This window comes from Homo sapiens, chromosome 20 (assembly GCF_000001405.40).
Source record: "Homo sapiens chromosome 20, GRCh38.p14 Primary Assembly".
Lineage (NCBI taxonomy): Eukaryota > Metazoa > Chordata > Mammalia > Primates > Hominidae > Homo > Homo sapiens.
The window spans coordinates 37,557,838-37,570,353 of NC_000020.11; the positions used below are offsets into that span (position 1 = coordinate 37,557,838).

Here is a 12,516-nt window from a genome sequence, read left to right on the forward strand (position 1 = left end):
GCTGAGCATGGTGGCGCGCCTGTAGTCTCAGCTACTTGGGAGGCTGAGGCAGGAGGATCACTTAAGCCTGGGAGGTTGAGTTTGCAGTGAGCTACAATTGTGCCACTGCACTCCAGCCTGGGCAACAGAGTGATACCCTGTCTCAAAAATAAATAAATAAAATTAAATAAAAGGTTTTTAACACCCAGCTAAAGATTGATTCTAACTTCCAGCAGTTTTCTTAGTGTGAAGTCAGTTTCACTGGAGAGGGTAGGTGGTACCTGTCTGGGTGATTTGATGTAGGACTCATAATTCTTTCTTTTCTTTTTTTTTCCTTTTGAGACAGGGTCTCACTATGTTGCCCAGGCTGATCTCACACTCTTGGGCTCAATTGATCTTCCTGACTCGGCCTCCCAAAGTACTGGGATTACAGGTGTGAGCCACCATGCTCAGCTGAACTCATAATTTTATAAGGATTTTAAAATAGTAAATCATTTTAATAGTTTCCTTTTAAAGATAAATGTATATAAATCAAAAAGGCAAGTCGACTTGAAGAAATATATTAAGTAAATAATAAATACAGGTGAAACCCCAGGGCAGACATTTGGCAAATGCTGCTGTGGATGGTGGGAGCCACAGCAAGGACAGAATGAGTGAAGAGGGTGGTGGGGCTGGAGTTGAAGGCCCAACTGGATGGACTGGGGAACGTGCACTAGTCTGGAAGGCATGAGGCCAGGGCCTGTGGGACCTGGAGGAAGGGAGAATCTACAGGCCTGGGAGCCTGATTGGATGTGGGAATGAAGCGGGCCAGGAGTTGAGGGACGCCCTAGTTTGGGGCTTGAAGGTACCAGGCTGCTTCTAACAGGAGGTGTCACAGTTGGCCATGTTACAGAACCTCTTTTCTAAGACTTGGATTCTTATTCACTGCAATGAAACAAAATTTGCAAACCTCTGTGTGACAAAGCGTTCCTTCCTGTGTCCCCAGTCAAATGCTGTAGCAGACGTGGTTGGCACCCTGTCCACACCCTTCCCTTGACCCATCTTGGAATTGACATGCAGAGAGTACCATGCTCACCAGCAGCTTTCTGTGTCTTTCTGCCCAAGGGCATTCTCTGGCCAGGGCCAGCTCAGCCTACACACGTCCCAGACTCACCATGGTCCAGCAGAAGATGGGAGCTGGGTAAATGGCCCAGCCTCTCCTCTCAGTGGCACAGCTCTGAGGTGTGGTCTGCAGTCTCCCAGAGGGACCTCAGCCAAACTGAGCCCCAGCTGTCCACAGCAGGAACCCATTCATTAGCGCCCTGTACTGGCTTCCTTCCCTTCCCTGGATGGCTTCCTGACTCTCAAATTGTGCTTCCTGGAACTACCTCCCAAAGAAACCACCTGCACCCAAATTTTTGCCTCAGGGTCTGCTTTCATGGGAACCCCAAAGCAAAACAAGCAAGAAATGTTAGGGTCACCACTACTTCCCTAGCTTCCTCTGGAGTTGCAGGCGTCATTTTTCCAGTTGATGTGGGTCCTCACAGTCCACCATATGCAGCTGTCTTTGTGGACACAACTGGAGGCACACGATCGGGATGAGGGCAGAGCAGTCCCCCTTTTTAATTGTTTTAATTAAGTCAACAATTGGCAGCCCTTGGGTACATGCCAGAGTCAGAGGTGTTTGAACCAGAGCAACTCCATCTTGAATAGGGGCTGGGTGAAATGAGGCTGAGACCTGCTGGGCTGCATTCCCGGGAGGTTAGGCAGTCTTGGTCACAGGATGAGACAGGAGGTCGGCACAAGATACAGGTCACAAAGACCCTGCTGATAAAACAGGATGCGGTAAAGATGCCGGCCAAATCCCACCAAAACCAAGATGGCGATGAAAGTGCCCTCTGGTCATCCTCACTGCTCATTATACACTAATTATAATATATTAGCATGCTAGACAACATGCCCACCAGCGCCATGACAGTTTACCATTGCTATGGCAATGTCCAGGAGTTACCCTATATGATCTAAAAGGGGGAGGAACTGTGAGTTCCAGGAACTGCCCACCCCTTTCCTGGAAAACTCATGAATAATCCATGTTTAGTATATGATGAAGAAATAACCAAAAAGTAACCACCCGGTAGCTCTCAGGGCTGTTCTGCCTTTGGAGTAACCATTCTTTTATTCCTTTACTTTGTTTTTTTGGGTCTCGCTCTGTCGCCCAGGCTGGAGTGCAGTGGTGCAATCTCAGTTCACTGCAACCTCCACCTCCCAGGTTCAGGTGATCGTCCTGCCTCAGCCTCCAGAGCAGCTGGGACCACAGATGTGCTCCACCACGCCAGGCTAATTTTTTGTATTTTTGGTAGAGACGGGGTTTCACTATGTTGCCCAGGCTGGTTTCAAACTTCTGACCTCAAGTGATCCACCCTCCTTGGCCTCCCAAAGTGCTGGGATTACAGGCGTGAGCCACCATGCCTCCCCTATTCCTTTACTTTCTTAAGAAACTTGCTTTCACTTTATGAATTCGCCTCGAGATCCAAGAGCCCTTTCTTAGGGTCTGGATTGGGACCCCTTTCCGGAGACACCAGCATAACCTTTGTTTCAGTTATTTGGGGCATGGAGGAAGAGGTTTTCTTGCCTCAGGGCCTTTGCAACTGCTGATTCTGCCACCTGGAATGTTTCCCCCTAAGATAGCCCTAACTAAGTCCAGATCCCTCACTTCATTCAGGCTCAAATAGCATCTCCTCAGAGAGGCCTCTCTGACCACATTATCTTAAATATATCCCTTTCTCTTTCATCCTATTGTCATTATAGCTCCTGGCATTATATCTTTTTAAAAATCAACTTTATTGAGGAATAATTCGCCCACAATAAAATACATTCACTTGAAGTGTACAGTTTGGAGTTTTGACAAATACGTGTTTCCTGGTAACCACCATCCAATCAACATTTCCATCACCCCAAAAGGTTCAGTTAGAAGATTCCCTCCCTGCCCCAGCTGTCAGAGGTGTTTGAACCGGAGCGACTCCATTTTGAGTGAGGGCTGGGAAAATGAGGCTGAGACTTGCTGGGCTGCATTCCCAGAAAGTCAGGCATTCCTAGCCTCTAGAGGTTTATGATTAAGGGAACAAATTAATAATGTTCACTAAACAGACCCAGATTGGGAGTGTCCAGATATCCCAATATCTGGACAAAAAAGGCATTTCTTTTTCTTTCTTTTTTTTTTTTTTTTTTTGAGATGGAGTCTTGCTCTGTCACTCAGGCTGGAGTGCAGTGGCGCGATCTCGGCTCACTGCAACCTCCACCTCCTGGGTTCGAGTGATTCTCCTGCTTCAGCCTCCGAGTAGCTGGGATTATAGGCGCCCACCACCACACCTGGCTAATTTTTTTGTATTTTTAGTAGAGACGGGGTTTTACCATGTTAGCCAGGATGGTCTCGATCTCCTGACCTCGTGATCTGCCCGCCTCAGCCTCCCAAAGTGCTGGGTTTACAGGCGTGAGCCACTGCGCCCGGCCGAACAAAGGCATTTCTAATTTTGCTCTAAAGATAATATTGATTCTTGAGCAATATAGTAATTAAGAAAATTAATTCTTTATCACAAACCCTTGTAGCAGAGCACATCTCCCCATATATACGACCATTGTACCTAGGGTGGATGCATTCTTCCACTGACTTTTTTGTTTTGTTTTGTTTTTGAGATGGAGTCTCTCTCTGTCACCCAGGCTGGAGTGCAGCGGCACGATTTCGGCTCACTGCAATCTCTGCCTCCCGGGTTCAAGCGATTCTCCTGCCTCAGCCTCCCGAGTAGCTAGGATTACAGGCATGCACCACCATGCCCTGCTAATTTTTTTATTTTTGGTAGAGACGGGGTTTCACCACGTTGGCCAGGATGGTCTCATCCCTTTACTTTCTTAATAAACTTGTTTTTGCTTTGCACTGTGGACTCGCCCTGAATTCTTTATTGTGCAAGATCCAAGAACCCTCTCTTGGGGTTTGGATCGGGACCCCTTTCCTGTAACACAGGCACTCACTGATCTGCGTTGGATCACTATAGCTTAGCTTTACTTTTCTAGAATTTCACACCCATGGAATAATCTGGCATGTCCTCTTTTGTGTCTGATTTCTTTTGCTCAGCATGATGTTTTTGAGATTCACCTATGTTGTTGCGTGTACCAAGGGTTCATTCTGTTTTATTGCCGAGCTGTATCCCATCGTACAAATGCACCGGGTTGCTTATCCACTCTCCTGTTGATGATGGACAGCTGGGCTGTTTCCAGTTTTCAACTATTAGAAATAAAGCAGCACGCCAGGCACGGTGGCTCATGCCTGTAATCCTAGCACTTTGGGAGGCCTAGGTGGGCGGATCATGAAGTCAGGAGTTCAAGACCAGCCTGGCCAGCATGGTGAAACCCCATCTCTACTAAAAATACAAAAAATTAGCTGGGCAAGGTGGCATGCACCTGTAATCCCAGCTACTTGGGAGGCTGAAGCAGGAGAATTGCTTGAATCCGGGAGGCGGAGGTTTCAGTGAGCGGAGATCACGCCACTGCACTCCAGTCTGGGTGACAGAGCGAGACTCTGTCTAAAAAAAAGAAAGAAAGAAAGAAAGCAGCTATGAACACTCGCATGCAAGTCTTTGTGCAAACATAGGTGTTACAGGAAAGGGGTCCCGATCCAGACCCCAAGAGAGGGTTCTTGGATCGTACACAAGGAAGGATTCAGGGCAAGTCCACAGAGTAAAGTGAAAGCAAGTTTATTAGGAAAGTAAGGGAATAAAAGGATGACCACTCCATAGACAGAACAGCCCTGAGGGCTGCGGGTTGCCCAGTTTTATGGTTATTTCTTGATATGCTAAACAAGGGGTGGATTATTTATGCCTCCCTTTTTTAGACCACATAGGGTAACTTCCTGACGTTGCCAAGGCATTTGTAAACTGTCATGGCGCTGGTGGGAGTGTAGCAGTGAGGATGACCAGAGGTCACTCTTGTCACCATCTTGCTTTTGGCAAGAGCTTCTTTACTGCAACCTCTATTATCAGCAAGGTCTTTATGACCTGAATCTTGTGCTGACCTTCTATCTGATCCTATGACTTAGAATGCCTTAACCGTCTGGGAATGCAGACCAGTAGGTCTCAGCCTGATTTTACCTGGCCCCATTCAAGATAGAGTTGCTCTGGTTTACACACCTCTCATATAGGGACATATCTGTATGTTTTCATGTCTCTTGGGTATACCTAACAGTGGAATTGCTGGATTACCAACTGGCATTATATTACCTATATAATATGAGGTATTATACAGGTAAGCTCCAGGAGGACAGAGACTGCTCATTACAGAATGTGCACAGTGCCCAGCACACACATGGCATGTAGCCAGTGCTGCAAGTCCACCTGAATGAGTAAAAAGCCAGCCAGCCTGATTTCCAAACTTAAGGGCTACACCCAGGAATTTGTTGTTCTGCCTCCTCCCCATCCACAGGCTACTGCTGGGGTTCCTGGCAGGTGTGGGGGCTGGGAGGGGAAGGGAGTTGGGGGAGGGGGCCTGGACACTTTTGTGAACCCTGTTGAGGTTGACAAAGGAGAGGGGTCACCATGGTCATGCCAGGGGTCTCTATCCCACACCTGGAATTTCTCTTAGGGCTTCCTGTGATGCTGAGATGGGGCAGCTGTGTCCCTGGCCCCACTCTTCTCCCTTGATGAAACTGCCTTTGCAGAAATTATAACAGTAAGAAAATTAGGACAGTGAAAGAGACCCATCTAACCAACCCCTATCTTGCCTTTCACCTCTAAACTGCCCTTAGGCATTCCTGGGCTTGGGCCAAGCTAACTTTGGGAGACATTTAGTTTATAGTTTAAACGATAATAGCCCATCTCCCAAACTAAACCGCCTTTGTAAAGATAATGAAAGAGCACTAGGTTAGGAAGATGAGAAGTGCCTACATTCTGCTAAGGTGGAGCTGTAACCGATTATCAGTCATTATTCCAGAGGCCACAAGATTCGCAACTTCTCCGGTTACTCCTGCAAATAACATCACTCTTGGAGAGTCCAAGATTGACTTTTTGAGACAAGTTTTCAGGTTTTTTGGCATTTCTTACTACCAATGGCTGGGGCATGGGGGTGCGGGTGGCACCCCAGTCCTGTGGCCCCACCCAGAAGCGGACTCAGCACCCCAGGACAATTTTCCACACCCCTGGGATTGCATCCCCAGCCAGTCAGCAGCACCCATTTCCTGGCCCGCCAAACTATCCTTGAAAAACTCCAGCCTCAGAATCTTCAGGGAGGCCGATTTGAGTACAAATAAAACTCCCGTGTCCAGCCAGCTCTGAGAAATCTGGCTGTCTCCGGGCAGCGGGCAAGGTGAACCCACGGGGTGGTTACATGGGGACCCAGGCTGTCTCTTGTATGGGGGACTTATGCAGGCCCAGCCCCTCCCCTTCTCCTTCCCACCCTCTGAGCGGCCTCCAGGACGCACTCGCGTGAGGAAACCCGGCCCGCGTGTCCGAGTTCTGTCCACGCCTTCTGCCAACAGCTGTCCTTTGCTCTTCGGGGCTCCTGGGACCGCGGGAAGGGGCCGGGGTTGCCTGGGGAAGGGGTGGGTGCACCTGTGTGCATGGTTTAGGGGTCTGGAGTCTTTGAGGTCGGTGGGTGTTTGTGTCTCTGTGTGTCTGTGAATCTGTCTCGTCTGTGGTTCCAGGCCTGGTGGCGCTGCAGACCCCAAGAGGCCGCCCTCCGCCTTCAGACAGCTCCCGCCGCCTCCCGGCGCCTGGGAGGAGACGGTGGGAAAATCGCGGCGGCGACGAGAGCCCGGCCTGCTCTTTCCGTTCCGCTCCCGCAGGGGGCGCCAGCGCTCCGTGGAGAGCGGCTGCGGCCCCAGAGACCACGCTCGGGCCGCCTGACGCCCAGAGCCCCCAGGAAGGGGAAACTGAGACCCAGGGAGGAGAAGGGAGGCTACTCAGACCTCCTAAATTCTAGTCCCAAATTCCACAGCACCAAGCTTGTCCCTAGACTTAGGAAATGCAGTGGGAGCGCTGTTCTCTACCTGGGCTGCACAGGCTGGCTCAGAGGTGGGGGATTGGACTCAATGACCTCTCAGTCCCCTCAGAGACCCTCGCCAGCTGTGGGGAGGTCCGCCAGCTCAGGGATGAGGTCTGGAGGGTAGGGCTGGGGGGACTTGGCCCTCTGGAAGTTGCTCACTGTGAGGGCTAGGTTGAGGACCCATTTATTCATCTGTAAAATGGGTGTGTAGGGAACAGGCATGTTCAGTTTTCTCCCTTGCTTTCGGCTTCATCCTAGCGCAGGTCAGAAGCTTAAGGGGAGCCTGGGCCAGCGTCCTGGGCATCCCATCCTTGCATTCTCCAGACATGACCACCTCCAGACCCTGCTCATTCCTAGACCTGCCTACTGGACCATGGGATGGTGATCGCGCCTACAGCATCCTTACCTAAGCAGCCCGACTCAAAACGATGAATTGGACCAATCAGTTATTGCCCTCCTGTTCTTCTAGAACTGTATACAGACACCCATTGTCCGTGGCCTTGTGCTGGGTGCCGGGGAGAGAGCAGTAAACAGAAAAGTGAGGCTCTGCCCCTAGAGACCCCACCGTCCAGAGAGAGGAGGCAGCGTGCCAAGCAAGTAAACAACAAACCAACAAACAATTACAAAGTCCTGTGAAGGAAACCAAGAAAGGGCAGACAGAAAGGACGACTGAGGAGGGGGAGGCTGCTCTTAGCTGCAGCTGTCAGGGGAGTTCCCTCCAATGAGGCAGCATTTAAACCAGGAGCTGAAAGATGAGTTGGAGTCAGCCATGCAGAGGCGAGGTCAGTGGAAAGGGTGAGCTAGGGCAAGGAAAACAATCAGACTCATCCTTTTATAAGATCCTCACGCTGCTGGGTGGAGAGTGGGCCTGGGCAGGGCGTGAAGGGCAGTCAGAAGGCCAGAGAGGACGCCGTTGCCATGAATCAGGGGACAGCTGCTGGTGGCTCAGACCAAGGTGGTGGCTGTGGAGGTGGTGGATTCTGGATGTATTTTAAAATAGGATTGGCGGGGCGTGGTGGCTCATGCCTGTAATCCCAGCACTTTGGGAGGTGGAGGTGGGTGGATCAACTGAGGTCAGGAATTCGAGACCAGCCTGGCCAACATGGTGAAACCCTGCCTCTACTAAAAATACAAAAATCAGCCAGGCATCGTGGCATGGATCTGTATTCTCAGCTACTCGAGAGGCTGAGGCAGGAGAATCGCTTAAACCCATGAGGCAGAGGTTGCAGTGAGCCAGGATCATGCCACTGTACTCCAGCCTGGGCAACAGAGTGAAACTGTGTCTCAAAAAAATAAAAATAAATAAATAAAAAAAATAGGGTTTATTTAATTTATTTATCAAATCAAATCAAATTGCCTTGAAGCCTTGGGTAGTTGGAAGTGCCTTTTTCCAAGGTGGGGACAGGTGTGTGAAACGCGGGATGGGCTGTAAGGGATCCCAGGACGGAATCCAGCCCTCCCTACGTATTCCCTGTCTTTGCAGGTAGGTTGTGGTTCTGAACTCAAGGATTAAGGCTTCCAAACTTGGTCCAGCTTCAGTATTGCCTGGGAGCTTCGGTCAATATGATTCTCAGGTCCCAGATCTTTTGACACAGAAGCTCTCAGGTGGCCCCTATGTGGGAGTCCCTGCCCCAGAGCCCAGCAGTTGTTTTCCCACTAGGACTGTGGTGACTCCCGTCTTCCTCTTCTAGGTGGCCAGACCCAGGTGAGGGAAGAGGCAGTGGTGGGAGAGTTTGGAGGGAGCGCCAAGAGACACACATGAGCAGAGGCTGCTGGAGAGTCAGAGATGTCGAGAAATGCCAGGGAAAAACAAGCTACCTTTTAATTTTGACCTCATTTCTAAATGATCACAGCTACCAAGGAAGATATTAATTTGCCTCCTGGGAAGTGGCTGGGGGAAGCACCAAGAGAAACTGGCAAGCAAAACAGGACCCAGAGGCTGAAGTCCTTGCACCGAGCACTTGCCAAGGTGGAGGTGGGGAGGGCTGGGACTCTGAGGGCCCTTTGGGTCCCTAGAATGATGCTAAGATAAGTCAGGCAGCTGCTGGCAGTCCAGTTCATTCTGAATCCATCCCACGAGAGGGGCTCAAATGGCCAAAATGTGTCCCTTGCCTTGACAGGCTTGGGAGGTTCATGGAACATTCTCTCACTGGCCCTCTTCACCTGGGGGTCATCCTGTAGGTCTCCCCACAAGCATCACTTCTTCAGGGGAGGCCTCCCTTGCTCCCCATTACTGGGTCATATCCCCAGTGTGAACACCCACTTGGCCTTCTCTTTCCTCCCGTGGGCATGTTCAATGCATGATGCACTTTCATCCAGCAAGGCAGACCTGCTGTCTCCTTTTACAGGTGAAGGCGCTAAGGTTCAGAGAGTTTAAGCAGTTTGCCCAAGGTCACACAGCTTGCACATGGCCTGGAACTTCTGTGGCTGCCACAGATACAGAAAACATTGCCCCCAAGTCCTTTGTTATAACTGAACACCACTTAACAACAGAAAACTATGGCTACCCAAAAGGATCAGACGAAACCTCTCAAAGGACCAAATAAATATCAGTGCTAGGTCCAGGCACGACGTAGGGATTATGTTTTGGACGCCACATCCACTTGACGACAGGGCCCCCAGAGGCCAACCTTTGCTGAACGGAGCCCTCCCCTTCCCCAAAGTCAGCTGTTTCTCTGTCCCTGGAAATGCCTCTGAAATGTCAATTGTGAGCCACCCCCACCTCCCCTTCCTCCTACGAGCCATGTAGCAGCTCAAATATATTATACATATTAAAAGAATATATTCTCTGGCAGCCCTGAAGGGGATAATGAAACCTATATATATATATCTATATATTTATACACAATGGATTGGCTCGAAATGCTCTGAATATCCCTCCAGCTATGGCAACCCTTTGAAATATGACACTCGAACAACGCCTCCCCCACTGGCGGCTGGCGGGAGACATTAAAGATTTAAAAAAAGGGAAGGAAGGAAGGAGACGAAGGAGAAGAAAAAGGAGGCAGCTGCTGTTGCCTTTGGCTGTGCAGCAACAAACTGTGTTTAAATATTAAAACCACCCATCACCCGGCCCAGCTGTCTGCCCCCTTCAGTGGTCTGGGTTCTTGCCAGGGTCTCCTGTGGCTCAGAATGGCTGGTGGGGGGGGGGTGCCATGCAGATCTAACCCCCCAACCCTGGGGATGTGGCAGAGGCTGGGAGGTTGGAGGGGGAGGCTCTGCTTCTGATCTCAGATTCTGGGCTTGTCTAGGCTCGGCTGGGAAAAGGGATCTGATGTGGGAGTGGGGTTGGGGGGCGTCTGCTGGGTTTGAGGCAGAAGATAAGGGTTTGGATCCTGACTGCTGATTAGGCGCTGTGTGAACTTGACCTTGGGGAAATCACCCCCCAGCTCAAGCTGCAATAACCTCGTCTATACTGTAAGAGATTTAAACTTGATCGTGGGACTTGAGGACTCTATGAATCCTCACAAATTACATGCAAAATTGGGGTGAGGTCAAGGGAGTCACAGTCTCGCTGGAGTGACTGGCCCCCCTCTGAGTGTTCAGACCATGATTTCCATCTCAATGCTGGTATTTTAGGTCTCTGGGTAGGGCCTGATTTCCTCTGCATCCTGGTTCCTGCAGGAGAGGCACTTTGTAAGTGTTTGTTAATGATCAGAGATGGGAAGGTACACCTTGTTCCAACACTGTAATTAAAGGTGACCAGAAGTGGCATGGGTTATCTTGCAAGGTGGTGAGCTCCCTGCCACTGAAGGAATTCAAACAGAGGCTGAATGAACTCTTTTTGGGGATGCTGTAAGGGATACTTAAGCATTTGACAGGGTTTGACTGTGAGATCCCTTCTGATTCCAAATTTCTTATAATTTTAATTTTTTAAAACTTTTAAGTTCAGGGTTGCTTGTTACGTGGTTTGTTCTAAAGGTAAACTTGTGTCACAGGGATTTGTTGTACTGATTATTTCATCACCCGGGTATTAAACCCGTGCCCACTAGTTATTTCTCCCGATCCTCTCCCTCCTCCCAACCTCCACCCTCTGGTAAGCACCAGTGTCTTTTACTCCCCTTGATGTGTCCATGTGTTCTCATCATTTATCTCCCGCTTATAATTGAGAACATGGGGTATTTGGTTTTCTGTTCCTATGTTAGTTTGCTAAGGATAATGACCTCTAGCTCCATCCATGTTCCTGCAAAGGACATGATCTCATTCTTTTTTTACGGCTGCATAGTATTCCATGGTGTATATGTACCACGTTTTCTTTATCCAGTCTACTGTTGGTGGGCAGATAATTTTAATTTGTTATGATTGAAGGCTACACAGAACTTCAACTATGACTGAGGAGAGGAAGAGAGCAGTTTGGGGTTTCTGTATATTCTGCCAGAGTGTAAAGTGGCAGACGTGTGGCTTTGCCTTCCAGGTGCCTCTCATAGTGGTGTGGAGTGATTCCAGGGTTTAAATACACATATTTTACTCTGCCATAGCTCCTAAACTCACACCAAACACTTTTGATCATCTGCTCCACTGAAAACGCAGGGATTTTTTCCTTTCCTTTCCTTTCCTTTCTTTTTCCTTTTCTTTTTGAGATAAGGTCTCCTGTCACCCAGGCTGGATTGCAGCAATGCAATCACGGCTCATTACAGTCTCAACTTCCCGGGCTCAGGTGATCCTCCCACCTCAGCCTCCCTAGTAGCTGGGACCACAGGTGAATGCCACCATGCCCGGCAAATTTTTGTATTTTTTGTAGAGATGGGGTTTTGCCATGTTGCCCAAGCTGTTCTCGATCTCCTGGGCTAAAGTGATCTGCCTGCCTTGGCCTCCCAAGGTGCTAGACTTACAGGTGTGAGCCACCATGCCTGGCTGGATTTGCTTCGTCCCTGGAGGAAAAGCTGACTGAGCTGGACTCACTGACAGCTGAATGGTTTCCAGCATGGAATGTCTCTACAGGATTTGCAAGGGAAATTTTGTCTTTTTTAAAAATTATTTTTTCATTATTCTGGGTACACAATAGGTGTAATATATTTACGGGGTACATGTGATGTTTTGATGCAGGCATACAATGTGTAATAATCACATCAGGGTTATTGAGGTATCTGTCACCTCAACCATTTATTATTTCTTTGTGTAAGGAATATTCCGTTTCTACTTTTTTAGTTATTTTAAAATATACGATAAATTATTTTTGACTATAGTCTTCCTAGTGTGCTACTAGATCTTATTTGAGACAGAGTCCCTCTCTGTCGCCCAGGCTGGAGTGCAGTGGTGCGATCTTGGCTCACTGCAACCTCTGCCTCCCAGGTTCAAGCAATTCTCCTGCCTTAGCTTCCCGTTATTTCTTCTATCTATGTTTTTGTACCCATTAACCAACTTCACTTCCCCTGCCTCCCTGCAACCCTTCCCAGCCTCTGGTAACTGTCACTCTTCTCTCTGTCTCTGTAAGTTCAATTGTTTTCATTTTTAGCTCCCATAAATGAGTGAGAACATGCAAAGTTTGTCTTTCTGTGCCTGGCTTATTTCACTTAACATAATGTCGTT

At 49.1% G+C, this 12,516-nt stretch overlaps 1 annotated feature.

The window, feature by feature from the left end:
* Window positions 10,184–10,684: an enhancer, noted in NCBI's record as "H3K4me1 hESC enhancer chr20:36196423-36196923 (GRCh37/hg19 assembly coordinates)". NCBI's record gives its function as "activates a minimal SCP1, AML or CMV promoter by ChIP-STARR-seq in naive H9 embryonic stem cells {active_cell/tissue: H9 hESC(naive)}" and the evidence as "EXISTENCE:reporter gene assay evidence [ECO:0000049][PMID:30033119]".